Source organism: Homo sapiens, chromosome 11 (assembly GCF_000001405.40).
Source record: "Homo sapiens chromosome 11, GRCh38.p14 Primary Assembly".
NCBI lineage: Eukaryota > Metazoa > Chordata > Mammalia > Primates > Hominidae > Homo > Homo sapiens.
Window position 1 is genome coordinate 65,575,417 of NC_000011.10, and position 17,312 is coordinate 65,592,728.

The 17,312-nt window shown below is 60.8% G+C and overlaps 1 protein-coding gene and 1 long non-coding RNA gene across 15 annotated transcripts, besides 9 other annotated features; one reads left to right on the top strand and one right to left on the bottom strand.

Moving 5' to 3' along the window:
- Positions 262 to 681: a silencer, noted in NCBI's record as "silent region_3541". NCBI's record gives its function as "represses an Ori minimal core promoter by ATAC-STARR-seq in GM12878 lymphoblastoid cells {active_cell/tissue: GM12878}" and the evidence as "EXISTENCE:reporter gene assay evidence [ECO:0000049][PMID:35858748]".
- On the top strand, positions 637 to 17,234 carry EHBP1L1 (EH domain binding protein 1 like 1). 14 transcript variants are annotated; one of them, XM_017017468.2, is made up of 21 exons: positions 637 to 990; positions 2,791 to 2,862; positions 3,662 to 3,748; positions 3,925 to 4,020; positions 4,520 to 4,573; positions 4,665 to 4,843; positions 4,921 to 5,063; positions 5,512 to 5,547; positions 5,642 to 5,710; positions 5,795 to 5,957; positions 6,123 to 8,349; positions 8,825 to 8,982; positions 9,070 to 9,118; positions 9,543 to 10,175; positions 14,335 to 14,404; positions 14,520 to 14,575; positions 14,671 to 14,794; positions 15,077 to 15,176; positions 16,384 to 16,457; positions 16,560 to 16,674; positions 16,787 to 17,234. In XM_017017468.2, the coding sequence occupies exons 3-21, from the start codon at positions 3,686 to 3,688 to the stop codon at positions 16,884 to 16,886; spliced, it is 4,509 nt and encodes a 1,502-aa protein (XP_016872957.1). In that variant the 5' UTR covers positions 637 to 990; positions 2,791 to 2,862; positions 3,662 to 3,685; the 3' UTR covers positions 16,887 to 17,234. The 14 variants fall into 14 exon arrangements, with proteins under 14 accessions (XP_016872957.1, XP_047282660.1, XP_005273924.1 ...); XM_047426704.1 differs by having other exon boundaries at positions 3,662 to 3,719; XM_005273867.4 differs by lacking the exon at positions 2,791 to 2,862 and having other exon boundaries at positions 3,662 to 3,719; positions 6,123 to 6,549; positions 8,176 to 8,349.
- Positions 692 to 751: a silencer, noted in NCBI's record as "silent region_3542". NCBI's record gives its function as "represses an Ori minimal core promoter by ATAC-STARR-seq in GM12878 lymphoblastoid cells {active_cell/tissue: GM12878}" and the evidence as "EXISTENCE:reporter gene assay evidence [ECO:0000049][PMID:35858748]".
- Positions 812 to 911: a silencer, noted in NCBI's record as "silent region_3543". NCBI's record gives its function as "represses an Ori minimal core promoter by ATAC-STARR-seq in GM12878 lymphoblastoid cells {active_cell/tissue: GM12878}" and the evidence as "EXISTENCE:reporter gene assay evidence [ECO:0000049][PMID:35858748]".
- Positions 1,962 to 2,256: a silencer, noted in NCBI's record as "tiled region #14514; HepG2 Repressive DNase unmatched - State 4:PromP". NCBI's record gives its function as "represses a minimal TATA promoter and a strong SV40 promoter by Sharpr-MPRA in HepG2 cells {active_cell/tissue: HepG2}" and the evidence as "EXISTENCE:reporter gene assay evidence [ECO:0000049][PMID:27701403]".
- Positions 4,540 to 5,665, bottom strand: LOC124902692 (uncharacterized). The gene is made up of 2 exons (XR_007062731.1): positions 5,216 to 5,665; positions 4,540 to 5,102 (listed from the first exon to the last, which is right to left on the bottom strand). It is a non-coding gene; the product is annotated as an uncharacterized LOC124902692 (long non-coding RNA).
- Positions 12,537 to 13,057: an enhancer, noted in NCBI's record as "H3K4me1 hESC enhancer chr11:65355424-65355944 (GRCh37/hg19 assembly coordinates)". NCBI's record gives its function as "activates a minimal SCP1, AML or CMV promoter by ChIP-STARR-seq in naive and primed H9 embryonic stem cells {active_cell/tissue: H9 hESC(naive and primed)}" and the evidence as "EXISTENCE:reporter gene assay evidence [ECO:0000049][PMID:30033119]".
- Positions 12,537 to 13,577: a biological region, named in NCBI's record as "H3K4me1 hESC enhancers GRCh37_chr11:65355424-65355944 and GRCh37_chr11:65355945-65356464".
- Positions 12,951 to 13,150: an enhancer, noted in NCBI's record as "active region_4991". NCBI's record gives its function as "activates an Ori minimal core promoter by ATAC-STARR-seq in GM12878 lymphoblastoid cells {active_cell/tissue: GM12878}" and the evidence as "EXISTENCE:reporter gene assay evidence [ECO:0000049][PMID:35858748]".
- Positions 13,058 to 13,577: an enhancer, noted in NCBI's record as "H3K4me1 hESC enhancer chr11:65355945-65356464 (GRCh37/hg19 assembly coordinates)". NCBI's record gives its function as "activates a minimal SCP1, AML or CMV promoter by ChIP-STARR-seq in naive and primed H9 embryonic stem cells {active_cell/tissue: H9 hESC(naive and primed)}" and the evidence as "EXISTENCE:reporter gene assay evidence [ECO:0000049][PMID:30033119]".
- Positions 13,710 to 14,211: an enhancer, noted in NCBI's record as "H3K4me1 hESC enhancer chr11:65356597-65357098 (GRCh37/hg19 assembly coordinates)". NCBI's record gives its function as "activates a minimal SCP1, AML or CMV promoter by ChIP-STARR-seq in naive H9 embryonic stem cells {active_cell/tissue: H9 hESC(naive)}" and the evidence as "EXISTENCE:reporter gene assay evidence [ECO:0000049][PMID:30033119]".
- Positions 17,235 to 17,312: the final 78 nt, after the last annotated feature.

Consider the following 17,312-nt stretch of genomic DNA (forward strand, 5'->3'; position numbering starts at 1 on the left):
ATCCTCTCAGGGATTCCCTAAAAGGCGGAACTACAATTATCCCCATTTAATAGACGTTGAAACTGAGGCTCAGAGTGTTAGCGCTTTGCCCAAAGTCACACTTGGTTGGAGGTCAGTTATGATTCTCCAGCTACTTGTCGGGGTTTGGGATTATCTTCCCCCTTGACAGCAGAGTCAGGTTCTGAGGTTGGGCCACCGAGGTTACTGACGCCTTCCTGCTCTGGTTAAGACGTGGGTGGCTGCACCTTGGAGTTGAGAGCTGGTCCTCGTCCACATTCACAGTATGACTCTGAGCAAGTCCCTTCCCCTTTCTGGGTCTCAGTTTTCCCAGCCGTTGAAAGGGGGCCAGTAGTACGTACCTCCCAGGGCTGCGGGCAGGAAGGAAGGCGGCCCGGGCAGCGCTCTCTAGGGTGGCACCAAGTTGCTGGTTGCCCTCTCTCCACGCAGCCTCTGCGCGCACCGAGCGGGCACTGCGGTCGGGCGACACCCCTTCCACGCCCCCCTCCCCCGCCCCCGCTCCCGCTCCCGGGTCGCGGCGCGAGGCCCCGGAAGCCGGGTCGCCCCGCCCCCGCGCTCCTGCCCCGGCCCCCGCCCCGCGCCGGAGCCCCGCCCGCCTTCCGACGGGGGTGCGGCTCCAGGAAACGGCGCGCTCCCAGCTCCGCGCTCGCCACCCGACGCGCCCCAGGCGACCCCGCAGACTCAGCCAGACCACCCTGCGGGCCCCAGCGGCGGCAGCGGAGAGCGCGGTCCCGGGTCGGAGCCTGGGACACCTCCGCACGGACGGGGCGGGCGGCGCGGACAGGCCATGGGGACCCGGGCCGGGCCAGCGGTGGCGGGCCAGCGGGAGCCCCGGGCCTGAGAAGTGGGCGGCGGGGTGGCGGGGGCCATGACCTCGGTGTGGAAGCGCCTGCAGCGCGTGGGCAAGCGGGCGGCCAAGTTCCAGTTCGTGGCCTGTTACCACGAGCTAGTGTTGGAGTGCACCAAGAAATGGTGAGTGGGAGGGAGGCGGGGGGGCTCCCCCGAACTTGCTGGGACCTCATCCGGCCCTTTGAGCCTGAGAGGACTCTGCCCCCCCAGCCCAATGACCAAATGGGCCCCCACCCCAGCTTGGGCCCTGGTTCCGTTCCCAGGCTCGGAGATTCAGAAGTGCCCTTGCAATTTGTGGGACCCCTGGAGTTGGGGGCGTGGGCAGCCTTCCCTGCGCGGGGGTCAGGACTTTCAGGCCTGAGGTTCTGCCTGTGTCCACTCCTTCCTCAGCTGCGGTCAGGGCTGGGGGAGGGAGGCCGCATGTCTTGTGCCAGAAAGGTGGTTCAGGGTGGCATTGGAAAAGGGATCAAGTTTTGAGGTCTGCAGGTGGCTAGGGCTGGGGCAGGAGCCTCCCTGACCTTACTTAGTCCAGCTAAGAACAGAGATGTTGCCCCCTCCTCCCCTGCCATCTTGTTGAGCCAGAAGAACCCCTCCAACTCCCGCCTCTTCAGCCAGAGTGCTGGGAGGCTGGAAACATCTCCACAATGTCCTTAAAAGGGGAAACTGAGTGCTGGGAGGATTGAGGAGGGAGGCGGGGAGCAGCTTAAAGGGGCCTGAGGACCTAGGAGGTTGTGGGTCCGGGAGGAGAGGGTTGCGGAGGGCAAGGTGGCAGGGTGAGGGGTGATTCACCAGAGGGTGCAGGCCCCAGCCTGGACTACCAACAGGTTCAGGGGCATCTCGTTCACATGCCGCCACCCATAGCTGCCCAGGCCCCTGCGTCACACCCTAAATATACGTGCTTGCTGGTGTCAGCTTCCCTTGGCTGGATTAGGGCACAGCTGTGGGGGCCTCACCCGCCAGGCGGGGCTAAATTTAGGCTCCCCAGGGGAAGGGCTGGGGCAGGAAGGGACCATGGGGTCCAGGGGGAGGGGAGTAAGCAGGAGGCTGGGGTCCCTTGGGCAGCTGCCATATCCTTGGCCTTGCCCACACTGGGCCTGCTAGAGGGCCATTCACATCTTTCAGCAGAGCCTGGGAGAGCTTGGGGGCTGGCACTTGAACTCTGGCCTCTGGCTCCTGCTCCAGCATCCTGCGGGAGGCCAGGGAAACACTGGGCACAGCAGGCTGAGGGTGCCGGCAGTGTCAACGCAGCTGAGTCACAGGCGGCTGTGGGTAGGGCCTCCTGGGCTGCTTAGCCTGGAGCCCAGGCCGGGAAGCTGCCCCTGCCCAGGTTGCAGCTTCCCAGGAGGGCGTGCCCAGCCTGAGTCAGGCTGCCCAGCCAAGCCCTGCCCTCCCTAGGCACCCCCTGTCCGCTTCCCCTTTCTGGGAAGGCCCCTTAGTTACCCTTGCTCTGCCATCGCTGGCAATTTGGGCTTGGGGAAGGGAACTTGGCTCTGGGTTGGAGGGCTCTAGGCTCAACCGTGTAAACTTGTTTGGCTCCAAACCTCTGTGGGCCTCAGCATCCTCAGGGTTAACAGAGAGGCACTTATCCTGGCTTGGCCTCAGACGAACAGTGAGCTGGGCAAACCCCAGCATCACGAGAGGGTGCAGGCATGGGGCTGGGTACAGGCAAGGCCAGTTCGCGTGCTGCCCTGGGCCGGATCGTCCCCTCAAGCATCACCCCTCCTGGGCAGCAGTTGAACATCTAACCCCAAGGGGCCCTCTGCCCCCAGGCCCAGCCATGAGTCCACTCAGTGCCTGGGAATGGGCCCTGCGCAGCCATCTCTGTCCTCTGGCTTTGCCTCTGCCTCTCCTCCATGTCTGACCTGGCATATGCTGTTCAGCTTAGATGTCACCCCCTGGAAGTCTTTTCTGATTGCCCTCCAGGCTCCACTGTCATCATCTTGCCGAAAGCTGATCCTCCTTGGGACCCCTGCGCCCAGCAAAGGGCTGGACATGGTGGGCGAGGGATGGCGGTGTTGGTTAATGACAGGCTGACCCTCTGCTGCTTCTCCGGCCTCACCCCCAACTCTCTGCCCCTCTCTCTGATGTCACCCTCCAGCCGCAGACCCTTGGACTTGCCATTCCCTCTTTCTCCAGATCCTCACACAGCCCATCCCCCTGCCACTCATCTCTGCCCAGACACCCAACCTCAAGGAGACCCCCAGGGGTTCCCTCACATCACCCTGGAGTTCGCTTGTTAATTTATTTTCCTTCTTGACTGGTAGTCTGCCCCCACCTCCATTGTCCTCACCGGAAAGGTCTTGTCTCTCTTTTGCCCTCCTCTGTCCCCAAAACTGGGCTGGGTTTATGGTGGGCGCTCCACAAACATCTTTGTGCGAAGGGACTTCTTTTATCCCTCGTCTTTGTCTCTCCCTGTGTTGGAGTCTGCGTGTGTGCACGATGCTCACATGTGCATCTGTGTCTGGCATCTCTTGCCAGGTCCTTGTGTTTCTGTGTGTCTTGGTCTCTGTATGTGCCTGTCCCTTTCTCACTTGCTGTCTTTCCTCATAGTCCCTGCCTGCCCACACTGTCTGGGCCTTTGCCCTTCTGCTCTGGCCCCACCCTACCTTAGCAGCTCCACCCTGCACCCTGTGGCCCCAGATAAGGGGCTGCCCAGGCCCTCTTCTGGAGGAGGGGGAGGTGGGCAGAAGGAAGACCCTGAGGGAGCTGGGGGAGGAGGAAGAGGAGATGGGGAGGCAGGTGAGCCTGACCAAGCAGCCTGCTCCCTTTCTCCCTCCCCTTCCCCCTCCCCCAGGCAGCCAGATAAGCTGGTGGTGGTATGGACCCGTCGGAACCGACGCATCTGCTCCAAGGTGGGGAAGGATGGCAACTGGGGATCCAGGTTAGGGATGGGGGCCGGTGGGAGGCTGATGGGGGCTGATGGGGGAGTGGAGTGAGGTTCAAGCACAGATCAGAATCCACAGAGGGGAGGGGAAGATGGTGTCAAGGTTGGTGATAGGGGGTGCAGGTGGGAGGGAAGAGTTAAGATGGGGGGAGGACTCAGATTGTCCCTTGTAGGCCCACAGCTGGCAGCCGGGCATCCAGAACCCATACCGGGGCACCGTGGTGTGGATGGTACCTGAGAATGTGGACATCTCTGTGACCCTCTACAGGGTGAGTCTCTAGCCCTCCAGCATGGATGGCAATTGCAACACAGGCAGTTGCAACAATTGCAACACAGGTCTCCTGGTAGGTTGTTCATCCAGATAGAAGAGGATGCGGGGGGTGAGGCCAAGAATTAGGGGGGCCTGCTCAGCATCACTGGCCCAGGAGGTCTCCTTGGAGGAGGCAGCATTTACCCAACACATGCAGCATGAGAGGCAGCTGGGACCAGAACTTGGGGTGCATCCCAGGAGGAGGTAGCAACCACCGCGTGCACCTGTAATCCCAGCTACTTGGGAGGCTGAGGCACGAGAATTGCTTGAACCTGGGAGGCAGAGGTTGCAGTGAGCCGAGATCGCACCCCTGCACTCCAGCCTCGACGACAGAGGAAGACTCCGTCTCAAAAAAAAAAAAAAAGCCACCACTACCAAGCACCTCCTGAGCCAGACAAGCTCTGCTCCCTTTGCTGCTGCCCCAACAGTCCTGTACTCACCAGCACCCTTCTTCCCAGGACCCCCACGTGGACCAGTATGAGGCCAAAGAGTGGACATTTATTATTGAAAATGTGAGTGTCTGGAGTGGGCTCAGGTCTGGAATCTTGGGGACCCTGGGACAGCACTGATGCCCCTTCTCCTGGTCTCTCCCCTGGCCCACAGGAGTCTAAGGGGCAGCGGAAGGTGCTGGCCACGGCCGAGGTGGACCTGGCCCGCCATGCAGGGCCCGTGCCTGTCCAAGTCCCAGTGAGGCTGCGGCTGAAGCCAAAGTCAGTGAAGGTGGTGCAGGCTGAGCTGAGCCTCACTCTTTCCGGGGTGCTGCTGCGGGAGGGCCGTGCCACGTGAGTGCCTACCTGCCCTCCTTGATCCTGGCCTGTGACCTCTGACTCCACCCTCACCTTTAACCTCTGCCTCCCAGGGACGATGACATGCAGAGTCTCGCAAGCCTCATGAGTGTGAAGCCTAGTGATGTGGGCAACTTGGATGACTTTGCTGAGAGTGATGAAGATGAGGCTCATGGCCCAGGAGCCCCGGAGGCCCGGGCTCGAGTCCCCCAGCCAGGTGGGCTCACAGCCTGCTGTGGATCGAGACTGCCAAGACCTGGGGAGGGAGGGTTACCCGGGCCACCAGCCACTTGCTGTGCCCGCCCTGTGATGGGAACTCATTACTGCCCAGGCAGTCCCAACCAACCCAGCAGCCTCAATTGTCCCAACCTGGCTGCTGGTCCCACGATAGCCTTGGTCTTCAGCTGAGTCCTGGAGGATGGGTTCCCAATGTCTCGCTGGGCTCCTGGGTCCTCTCCTCATCCCTTTGTGGTGCTTGCCAGGCCCGTACCTGACCCAGGACAGCTGGGTCAGAAGCCCGGCTCCTGATCCCTCACCACCAGCCCTCCTGGGCCAGCTGGGGCTTCCTCATTCCTCCCTGCTGCTTGTCCAGGCTTTTTCTCTGTCCACTGTTGAGGTTCTCTCTCTCTTTCTCTCCACATCTGTGGGCCTGTCTCTTCTCGCAGGCCGGGGCGGTGCCCTGAGGCCAGGGCGTTTCCCAGGTAGGACCTGCACTGTAGTTGGGGGAGGGGGTCAGGCCTGTGGGGCCCTGCCCTGGGCTGACTCTGCCCTTCTCCCCTCTCCTACCATTCCCAGATCCCTCTCGAGAGCTGAAGACGCTTTGTGAGGAGGAGGAGGAAGGCCAAGGACGACCCCAGCAGGCAGGTGAGACCCAGGCTGGGGTTGGGGGTGGAGACTGGACCCCAGGTCACTGGGCCCAGGCCACAGTGTCCCCCTCTTTCTTCTCAGTTGCCAGCCCTTCTAATGCTGAGGATACCAGCCCAGCCCCTGTGAGTGCTCCTGCACCCCCAGCCAGAACCTCCCGAGGCCAGGGGTCAGAACGAGCTAATGAAGCGGGGGGCCAGGTAGGCCCTGAGGCCCCAAGGCCCCCGGAAACCTCACCAGAGATGAGGTGAGCTTTGGAACCAGCCTCACCCCCCATTGCCCCCTGATAGGAGCTGCAGTCCTCACCCCCACCAACCTGCCTCCAGGGCCCCAACAGTCTGAAGGGTGGCGGATGGTGCTGAGAGTTGGGGCCAAAGCAGCCCCCCAACTCCCCCTCCTGCTCTCTTCTCAGGTCTTCAAGGCAGCCAGCCCAGGACACGGCCCCCACCCCAGCCCCTCGGCTCCGGAAAGGCTCTGATGCCCTCCGGCCCCCAGTCCCCCAGGGGGAAGATGAGGTCCCCAAAGCCTCAGGGGCTCCTCCAGCAGGATTGGGCTCTGCTAGGGAGACCCAGGCCCAGGCATGCCCTCAGGAAGGGACAGAAGCCCATGGAGCTAGGCTGGGCCCGAGCATTGAGGATAAAGGTTCTGGAGACCCTTTTGGAAGGCAGAGACTCAAGGCTGAAGAGATGGACACTGAGGACAGGCCAGAGGCCAGTGGGGTGGACACTGAGCCAAGGTCAGGAGGCAGAGAGGCAAACACTAAGAGGTCAGGAGTCAGAGCTGGGGAGGCTGAAGAGAGTTCAGCAGTTTGTCAAGTGGATGCTGAGCAGAGGTCAAAGGTGAGACATGTGGACACTAAGGGACCAGAGGCGACAGGGGTGATGCCTGAGGCAAGATGCAGGGGGACCCCTGAGGCTCCTCCAAGGGGCTCTCAGGGGAGGCTGGGAGTCAGGACCAGGGATGAGGCTCCCTCAGGCCTGAGCCTGCCCCCAGCGGAGCCTGCAGGGCACTCTGGGCAACTTGGTGACCTCGAGGGGGCCAGGGCTGCTGCAGGCCAGGAGAGAGAGGGTGCAGAAGTGAGGGGTGGAGCACCTGGTATTGAGGGGACAGGCCTGGAGCAGGGCCCTTCTGTTGGAGCAATAAGCACCAGGCCCCAGGTGAGCAGCTGGCAGGGGGCCCTGTTATCAACTGCCCAGGGGGCAATATCCAGGGGTCTGGGAGGCTGGGAGGCAGAAGCTGGGGGTTCAGGGGACCTGGAAACAGAGACTGAGGTGGTAGGGTTGGAGGTGCTGGGAACCCAGGAGAAAGAAGTTGAGGGGTCAGGGTTCCCAGAGACTAGGACACTAGAAATTGAGATATTGGGGGCCTTGGAGAAAGAAGCAGCAAGATCAAGGGTCCTGGAGTCAGAGGTTGCTGGGACAGCACAGTGTGAGGGACTGGAGACCCAGGAAACAGAGGTGGGGGTCATAGAGACCCCAGGGACAGAGACTGAGGTATTGGGGACCCAGAAAACAGAAGCTGGGGGTTCAGGAGTTTTGCAGACAAGAACTACGATAGCAGAGACTGAGGTACTGGTGACCCAGGAGATATCTGGGGATTTAGGGCCACTGAAGATAGAAGATACAATACAGTCTGAGATGCTGGGGACCCAGGAGACAGAGGTGGAAGCTTCTAGGGTACCAGAGTCAGAGGCTGAGGGGACAGAAGCTAAAATATTAGGGACCCAGGAGATAACAGCTAGGGATTCAGGGGTCAGAGAGATAGAAGCAGAGATAGCAGAGTCTGACATATTGGTAGCCCAGGAGATAGAGGTGGGACTTTTGGGGGTTCTGGGAATAGAGACTGGGGCAGCAGAAGGTGCGATATTGGGGACCCAAGAGATAGCATCTAGGGATTCAGGGGTCCCAGGGTTAGAAGCTGATACAACAGGGATCCAGGTGAAAGAGGTTGGGGGTTCAGAGGTTCCAGAGATAGCGACTGGGACAGCAGAAACTGAGATATTGGGGACCCAAGAGATAGCATCTAGGAGTTCAGGGGTCCCAGGGCTAGAATCTGAGGTAGCTGGGGCCCAGGAGACAGAGGTCGGGGGTTCAGGGATCTCAGGGCCCGAGGCTGGAATGGCAGAGGCCCGAGTACTGATGACCCGTAAGACAGAAATTATAGTTCCAGAGGCTGAGAAGGAAGAGGCTCAGACTTCGGGGGTCCAGGAAGCAGAGACTAGAGTTGGGAGTGCTCTCAAATATGAGGCTTTAAGGGCCCCAGTCACTCAGCCAAGAGTTTTAGGATCCCAGGAAGCAAAAGCAGAGATTTCAGGAGTACAAGGGTCAGAGACTCAAGTTCTGAGAGTCCAGGAGGCAGAGGCTGGGGTTTGGGGGATGTCAGAGGGCAAATCTGGGGCTTGGGGGGCCCAGGAAGCAGAGATGAAGGTTTTAGAGTCTCCAGAGAACAAATCTGGTACTTTTAAGGCCCAGGAAGCGGAGGCTGGGGTCTTGGGAAATGAGAAGGGGAAAGAAGCTGAGGGAAGCCTCACAGAGGCCAGCCTGCCTGAAGCACAGGTGGCCAGTGGGGCAGGGGCTGGGGCGCCCAGGGCCTCTTCCCCAGAGAAGGCTGAAGAGGACAGGAGGCTGCCGGGCAGCCAGGTAGGGATGGGGGCCGCCGAGGGCCCAGTCTGCTGCTTCCCACTAACCTGGGGCTGAGCGAACGGCGGCTCTGCATGGACCCACCTGGTGGAATGGGATCGGGTGGGGTGGGGGGCTCAGCTTGAAGGAGCCCCCTCATCCCCTCCTCTCTCAGGATGCCCTGGCTCTCTTACCCCATCTTCCCTGGGCCGCATGGAGCTGGACACCTCTAAGCTGATTTTCTGGGCTGACTTTGAGGTGTGGCTGCTGGTGACCTCTGATCTTGTCTGGGGGCCACTGACCTTTTAGGTGACCTTGGCAGATAACCCTGGATCTAGAAACCCTTTTACCTGGCCCCAAGGCTCTAGCCAGTGGTCTCTGGTGACCCCTGCAAGCTCAGAGATGGGGCTGTTGTGTGCCAGGCATGAGCTTCCCCAAGAGGCAGAGGGCATACATCCCATTTATACATTCCCTAAGCCCACCCCTGTGTCCTCAGGCACCACCTGCCCTGGTCAGCTCCAGCCAGTCCCTGCTGGAGTGGTGCCAGGAAGTCACCACTGGCTACCGTGGCGTCCGCATCACCAACTTCACCACATCCTGGCGCAACGGCTTGGCCTTCTGTGCCATCCTGCACCGATTCTACCCAGACAAGATGTGAGCTGCCAGAGGGGTGGGAACGAATGGGGGAGCCATCAGGGAGGGCAGTGTGGACCCAGCCTCTGACCAGCACACTCTCTGCAGTGACTATGCCTCGCTAGACCCACTCAACATCAAGCAGAACAACAAGCAGGTGAGATGGGGTGGGGGACTGCCTGGAGGGAAGGAGGGTCTGGAGAGCCAGGCTCTCAGTGTCAGATTTGGAGAAAGTGGACTGCCGGGCCCAGCAGTGGCTTCTGGAAGTTCTGCCACTTTTTACCCCTTTGGTCATTAAATTGTTTGTTTTCCTTATTTTCGTTTGTTTGTTTTAAAGCGTTTTTCCTCCCTTAGATGGTTTTTCCAAAACCACCCTTTGGTAACGGGGTGGACGGTGTGCCGTTGCTAAGCAACGCGAGGGCGGGCCTTGTTGCTGGATTTCCCTCGCTAGGAGGGGGCGGTGTTGCTAGGCAAAACCCGGGGTGCCAATCCCGGGGACCCCCTCCGTGGGGCGGCACTGCAGCGTTGCCGGGTGGCGCGGGCCACCGCCGCCGCTGACCCCGAGTGCACCCTTCCCCTAGGCCTTCGATGGCTTCGCGGCTCTGGGCGTGTCGCGGCTGCTGGAGCCCGCGGACATGGTGCTACTGTCGGTGCCCGACAAGCTCATCGTCATGACGTACCTGTGCCAGATCCGCGCCTTCTGCACCGGGCAGGAGCTGCAGCTGGTACAACTGGAGGGCGGCGGCGGCGCCGGCACGTACCGCGTGGGCAGCGCCCAGCCCAGCCCGCCCGACGACCTGGACGCCGGAGGCCTGGCGCAGCGGCTGCGCGGTCACGGGGCCGAGGGGCCCCAGGAGCCCAAGGAGGCCGCAGACCGCGCAGACGGGGCGGCCCCGGGGGTGGCCTCCAGGAACGCGGTCGCGGGCCGCGCCTCCAAGGACGGCGGGGCCGAGGCCCCCCGAGAGTCGCGACCCGCGGAGGTCCCGGCCGAGGGGCTGGTGAACGGGGCGGGGGCACCGGGCGGCGGCGGCGTGAGGCTGCGACGGCCCTCGGTCAACGGGGAGCCCGGGTCGGTGCCCCCGCCCCGCGCGCACGGCTCCTTCTCCCACGTGCGCGACGCGGACCTGCTCAAGAAGAGGCGCTCGCGGCTGCGGAACAGCAGCTCGTTCTCGATGGACGATCCGGACGCGGGAGCCATGGGAGCTGCGGCTGCAGTGAGTGTCAAGGTCCTTCTTTCTTCCCCCGCCGCAGCGCGGGGTCCCGGGAAGATGGGCAGAGAACGGGCGAGCCCCCAAGGGGCCCCAAGGACAGAGCTGGCGCGAGGGTGACGGTTTCAGAGTGGCGGGGCTCGGCTGGACCCAGGAGGGGCTATCTGATCAGAGGGACCCTGGTGCTGTGGAAGAGTCCTCTGGTGTGGTAGTGAGCTCCTCATTAGGGGACGCATTTGAGCCAAGGCCCACCAGGCAGGGTCCCCAGCTTTGCGGCCAGCCTGGGATAAGTGCTGAGGGTTTTTAGTGCTTGGCACTTGGTGTGGGGAATCAGGCTGCAGAAGTTCCCGGAGCATCCACGTTCCTGGCACTCTGCCCAGTGCTTGGTAGGCTGGAAGGTGGGTTTGGGCATTTCTTTCCCTGCAGGTGGCTCATCGTTAACCAGCAGCCACCCTGCCCCATGAGCTGGGTGCAGACTATCTGTACTCAAGGGGGATTCTCCAGGGCCTCCCAGCCCCAGGACTCTGGCGTACATCTTTAACCCCAGATGCTGGAGACCAGTCTCCTCTTTTCTTACAATGGAAGGTTGGAGATGTGAGATCGTGAGGGCCCGTGTCCCTGCTGTCATCCCCTATGGGTTGTAGGTCATCTCCTAGAGTGTCGTGTCACTGTGCTGAAGGGGACATGGTCCCAGAAAGAGCAGGGATTTGCTCAGTGACCCACAGCTGCTGGAGTCCAGGACACGGGCTTTCCAGCTGGAGTCCCAGCACTGCCCCATCCTGCCTGTCAACCAAGGGGCAGCTCTGCCAGGCTGCTGCAAACCTTCAGCTGTCCAGGAATGACCCCTGCATTTGAAGGAAAGGAGTGAATTCATTGGGAAAGTCTTTCTGGAAGAAGCCACCATTTGAGCTAGGTTGATAAGATGGCCAGGTTTTTCCCAGGTGAAAAATGAGTGGGGTTCTCAAATGGTGGGAACTGCATTAGCAAAAATGTGGCAGCAGGAAAGTTTAGGCCTCGTTTAGGGAACTGCCAGCCATCTCCCGGAAGGTCCATAAGTGGCAATGAGGCCAGGCTGAGAGCAGGAGTCCTGGGTGTAGGGTCAGAGGCACAAGCATTGAGCCTGTGAGTGAGAGACAGAGGGCATGGGTGACACCCACCTGTGGAAGATGTGATACGCAGGAGTCAAGAGGACAAGGCCAGCTTTGGCCCATCTGTTGGCCTCATTAATGTGTGTCAGTGGCTCTTTAAATCTTAAAGGGGAGGTGCCCCCTCTGGGCCCAAGTTCCAGCATCTGGTGTTTCCAAGTCAGGCCTTCCCCCAGCTCTTGTCTCACAGGAGATATCTGACCCATAGGGCTGGAGGGGACTCCTCATTGGCCACCCCCCTCCCCCATGCCCATTGTGTGCAGTGGGAGGTGGTCTGGCCTGGCCCGGCCCTTGGGAGCTCCCAAAGTCCTGGTCTTCCTGGAGGAGGGGCCAGGCATGAGGGTATTGAAAGAGGAATTTGAGGCCGGGCACCGTGGCTCATACTTGTAATCCCAGCACTTTGGGAGGCAGAGGTGGGCAGATCACGAGGTCAGGAGATCAAGACCATCCTGGCCAACATGGTGAAACCCCGTCTCTAATAAAATACAAAAAATTAGCCGGGCATGGTGGTACAGGCCTGTAGTCCCAGCTACTCAGGAGGCTGAGGCAGGGGAATTGTTTGAACCCCGGAGGCGGAGGTCTCAGTGAGCCGAGATTGTGCCACTGCACTCCAGCCTGGCAACAGAGCAAGACTCCGTCTCAAAAAAAAAAAAAAAAGAGGAATTTGAGTTAGACATGAGGAAGCACTGGAATTCCCACGAGGCCTGGCATGCGGAAGCTCTGCGCTGCTGAGGCTGGATTTCTCCACTCTCCTGCTTCTGCCTGTCCCGTCAGCTCAGCACTCTTTATGTGCCTGGCCTGCCCATGGACTCTTAGGGTGTGTATGAAAGCATTTTGCAAGGTGGCATTGAGGCCCCCTGCAAGTTGCTGTCAAAAAAGGGGAGATGTGTGTTTCCCTAGATTCCTTTCTAGAAGCCCTGCAGCTCCCAGGTCACACAGGGCTGGGCTTTCTCCCATTTTACATACAAGGACACAAACAGAGGCCCCAAGGGTGTGACTGGCCCCAAGGCACACAGCAAGTTGGTGGCCAAGCTTGGGAACAAACTGCTGGGTTAGACAACCCTGGGCCCTAGACCAGACCCTTTAGGAGCCTCATCTCTGACCCTCAGTTTCCTCATCTGTAAAGTGGGGAGGGTCGTGGTCCCTGCCTCACAGGGCTGTTGGGAGGATTCAGTGAGTCAGTGCACATAAAGTGCTTTAAGTGCCCGGCACAGAAACACTTGGTAGATATTAGCTGCTGTTATTAGTCAGTGTACCTTGACTGTATTTTTTGGGCCCAGCTCTGTATAAGGGGGAGACATGGGAAACCAGCAGCTGTGACGGGGTGAGTGGGGGTTGGAGCTGTGATGGGGGAGGCCATGGGAGCAGCATCTGCCCAGCCTGGGGATCAGAGGAGGCTTCTGGAGACATGGAAGTCAGGGAGGGAGGCGGGAAGAGTGTGGGGGCCCCGGCAGGGGGGTCTCTGGAGGAAGTAGGGCTGGGCTGGGTCGTGGAGGTCACGTTGGTACCAGGCAGCCCAAGATGGAAGCTGACTCCAGGCTGAGAAAGCTATTTTGGGAACTGAAAGTCGGCCACTGTGGCCAGGGGGCGGTGTCTAGGCGTGGCTCAGGGTGGTAGGAACATTGAGGCTGGGGCCGCCTGAGGCTTTGGCATGAGGCTGGGGGGCTGAGGAGAGATGTGAAACAGTTACACCGGGGGTGAAGGTGTCAGAGAGGCCTCTCAGTTTCAGCTTGAGTCAGCAGGCAGGCCATGGTGGTGGCTGGTGGGGAAGTCACCACTGCCCCAGGCCAGAGAGGATTGCCTCTGAGCCAGGGATGTCCAGGGCTGCCTCTGAGAGAGGTACAGGTGGGAGTGGACACGGGCAGGTCAACCACTGTCCCTGCCCCATGACCCCGACACAGGTCAGATGACCCAGATGTGGGGGGCCAGGGCAGGAGCAGTTGAGGGGCCAGGCTATCAGCTGAGTCGAAAGTTGGGGACCCCCAGGGCTGACAGTCCCAACAAGTCACTAGGGGCGGGCAGGTACATGGGGTCAGCCCTGCCCTTCCAAGCTAAAATTCAAAGATCCAGCCAGCCTGGCTTGTCCTGTGTGTGTGAGCATGCAGCAGCCGCTCCTGGGTGTGGGAACTGAAAAGGCAGCAGGGCACCCCCTTTTGGCCAGGAGGTGGAGGTGCTGGCTCAGGAGGGTCCAGGTCTGGGGAGCCCTGAGGACAGAAGGGGAGGGAGCCTGGTGGGGCCTCTGCAGGAGGCAGGGCTGGGCTGGGTCACACGGATGGGGCCATGTGGGGCAGTGCAATGGTCACTGCATGGGGCCCTGGCCATGACGGAGAAGCCAGCACTAGGTGACAGAAGTCAGAGGTGGCCTGAGGGAATTCCATGGAAGAGGAGTCGAGGCCGGGCGTGGTGGCTCACACCTGTAATCCCAGCACTTTGGGAGGCCAAAGTGAGCAGATCACCTGAGGTCAGGAGTTCGAGACCAGCCTGGCCAACATGGTGAAACCCCGTCTCTACTAAAAATACAAAAATTAGCTGGGCGTGATGGCGGGTGGCTACTTGGGAGGCTGAGGCAGGAGAATCACCTGAACCAGGAGGTGGAGGTTGCAGTGAGCCATGATCCTGCCACTGCACTCCAGCCAGGGCGACAGAGCGAATCTCCATCTCAAAAAAAGAGAGTAGGGAGGAAAGGCCTGGGCTGGGCCCTTCACAGGCTCTCATCCTGTGAGGCCGGAGCTCAGCCCAGCCCCAGGAGGGGAATTGGGAGGCTCGGAGCCTGGGTGTGGATGGGCCCAGGGCCACAGGGCCAGGAAGGATGAAGGCTGTGGCCTTTGCTTGAGGAGGCATTTCTCTTGGAAGGAGGTGGGCCCGGGGGTTCTGTGCATGCAGGACTAGAGGAGGGGCAGGGGCGGGCAGGAGCTGGGGTCAAGGACCCCTCCTCCCCTCTGTATGAGTGGCTCTGGCTGGCCCCAGGCCCAGGCTGGTGGGAAACCCCTCCCAGCCCTCACTGGCCCCTTCTTCCACAGGAAGGCCAGGCCCCTGACCCCAGCCCTGCCCCAGGCCCACCCACAGCTGCAGACTCTCAACAGCCCCCTGGTGAGTAGCAGGAGTGGTGACCATCTCAGTTCAGGCTGCTCACAAAGCCTGGACTGGGGACTTCCTGGGGGTGGGTGGTGGTTAGGGGGTGCCTTATCATCATCTCTGTCTGCAGGTGGGAGTTCCCCCTCGGAGGAACCACCCCCAAGCCCAGGGGAGGAGGCTGGGCTGGTAAGGAGGGCTAAGTGGGAGGAGCTGATGGGTGAGCACCACCTATTCAGGGCCTGGGCTGAGTCCACCCTGTTCTCTGCCTTTTCCACCCCCAGCAACGGTTCCAGGACACAAGTCAGTACGTGTGTGCAGAGCTGCAGGCCCTGGAACAGGAGCAGAGGCAGATAGATGGGCGGGCGGCTGAGGTGGAGATGCAGCTGAGGAGCCTCATGGAGTCAGGTGGGGCATACATCTAGGGATCCCTTCCCCAACACATGCCACTAGGTCTGTCCAGCCCTGCAGCTGTTCCTGACCTTGGGAGGAGCTGGGAGGAGGCACGGCTGGCATCAGCGTTCCCATTTTACAGCCAGGCATGCTGAGGCCCTGAAGTGGCTTCCTCGAGGCACACAGTTCTGGCTTCTGGGATGTCACAAGGGAGCAAACCCCCTCCCCCAACCCCCAGCTGCCCTACCCTGACACGGGGCAGGGGGCAGGCCTGGTGACTGTCCCTGTCCAATGCAGGTGCCAACAAGCTGCAGGAGGAGGTGCTGATCCAGGAGTGGTTCACCCTGGTCAACAAGAAGAACGCTCTCATCCGGAGGCAGGACCAGCTGCAGCTGCTGTGAGTGCTGGCCCCGGGCCAGGAGAGCAGAGGGACTCTTAGCTACTTTGGTTAGAGTTCTTCACTACTTTCTTATTCCTACAGAGATCTTTTTGACAAACGATTCCTCTTCCATCTTACTGTTTTTGTCCTAAACAAATTGCTGTTTAAAGTGTAAAACTGGCCAGGCACGGTGTCTCATGCCTGTAATCCCAGCACCTGGGGAGGCCGAGGCAGGCGGATCATCTGAGGTCAGGAGTTCAAGACCAGCCAACATGGTGAAACCCCATCTCTACTAAAAATACAAAAATTAGCCAAGTATGGTGGCACGCGCCTGTAATCCCAGCAACTTGGAAGGCTGAGGCAGGAGAATCGCTTGAACCTGGGAGGCAGAGGTTGCAGTGAGCCAAGATCAGACCATTACACTCTAGTCTGGGCAAAAGAGTGAGACTCTGTCTCAAAAAATAAAAATTAAAACAAAAATTAAGGGTAAAACTCTTAAATTAGAACTATTTTTACTAATAAGAAAACCGGCCGGGCGCGGTGGCTCACGCCTGTAATCCCAGCACTTTGGGAGGCCGAGGCGGGCAGATCACAAGGTCAGGAGATTGAGACCATCTGGCTAACACAGTGAAACCCCGTCTCTACTAAAAATACAAAACATTAGCCAGGCCTGGTGGCGGGCGCCTGTAGTTCCAGCTTCTGGGAAGGCTGAGGCAGGAGAATCGCTTGAACCCTCCTGGGGTTGAGAGATTGCAGTGAGCCGAGATCGTGCCACTGCACTCCAGCCTTTACAGTAAGGAAAACAGAAGCCCAGAGAGATCTGATCTGGTTCCCATGTGGGGTCCGAAGCCACTCTGCGGCCATTGCCTTTGTCATCCTGCAGGGTGGAGACAGCTTTGCCTCCCTTTTGCGTTTGGGATTTTTCAGAATAACTGTAGCCAGTGCTTCCTGTTTATGAGTACTGTTCATCCAAATAATCCTTCGGGGGTCCTTCTGGGGGGTGTGTGGGAGGAGCAACACAAACACCCAGCAATTGGAGAAAACAGAAGAAAAGCGATAATGTGGTCTGGAGACTAGAGGATAGCTCTGCGGTCAGCCCTGCCCTCGGGAACTGCTGGGGAGGTGGGATGGGGTCAGGGAGTGGCCAGAGCCCTGGGCACTCTCTCCCTACGCCCCTTTTCCTGAACTGCCACCCCCCCGCCACCCACCCCCCGCCACCTTCCAGCATGGAGGAGCAGGACTTGGAGCGAAGGTTCGAGCTGCTGAGCCGCGAGCTGCGGGCCATGCTGGCCATCGAAGGTGGGACATGGGCTCAGGGGCCGGGAGGCAAGACAGAGCCAGGGTGGAGGCGGCACAGCCCTGGGCCCGCGCCTCCTGACGCTTAGCCGCTTCGACCCTCAGACTGGCAGAAAACGTCCGCTCAGCAGCACCGAGAGCAGCTCCTACTGGAGGAGCTGGTGTCGCTGGTGAACCAGCGCGATGAGCTAGTCCGGGACCTGGACCACAAGGAGCGGATGTGAGTGGCGCTGGGCGGCGCTGGGAGTTGGGAGGGTCCGGGACTTGCTCCCGCAGAGGGCTGCGTGTGGACCCCGCCCAACGGAGCGCTGACTCGAACCCGTTCTCCCCAGCGCCCTGGAGGAGGACGAGCGCCTGGAGCGCGGCCTGGAACAGCGGCGCCGCAAGCTGAGCCGGCAGTTGAGCCGGCGGGAGCGCTGCGTGCTGAGCTGAGGCCGCCGGCCCGGGTGGCCCATAACTTCTCGCGTCCCCGGCGTCCGCCGCCGCCCCGGGCCTGCGCTGCGGACGACCCGGCCGTCCCGGAGGCCGCGCGCGTGTCCGCTAGGGGCCGCCGGCGCCCTTCCCCGTACAGGGCAGGGCGGATCCCCGACCCCACGGGCGGGGCGGCCGCCGTATTTATTTGTCACCGAGGGTGTGTGCGCGCTCGCGGCGGGTGCGGGGTCCTCCCCGACGGCACGGCCGGGCCGGCGGCCTCGGGGAGAGGGATGCCTGGGCACTACCGCCCCGCGCTGGCTTGCCCTCCTGTTCTCCAGAGCAATAAAGTTGGACGAGACTACCCCAGCGCCGGCCTTTTCTCCGCTCCACCTGGGCTCTCAATAGGCGGAGGGGAGTGCGCCGAGGCTGAGGCGGGCGGCTCTG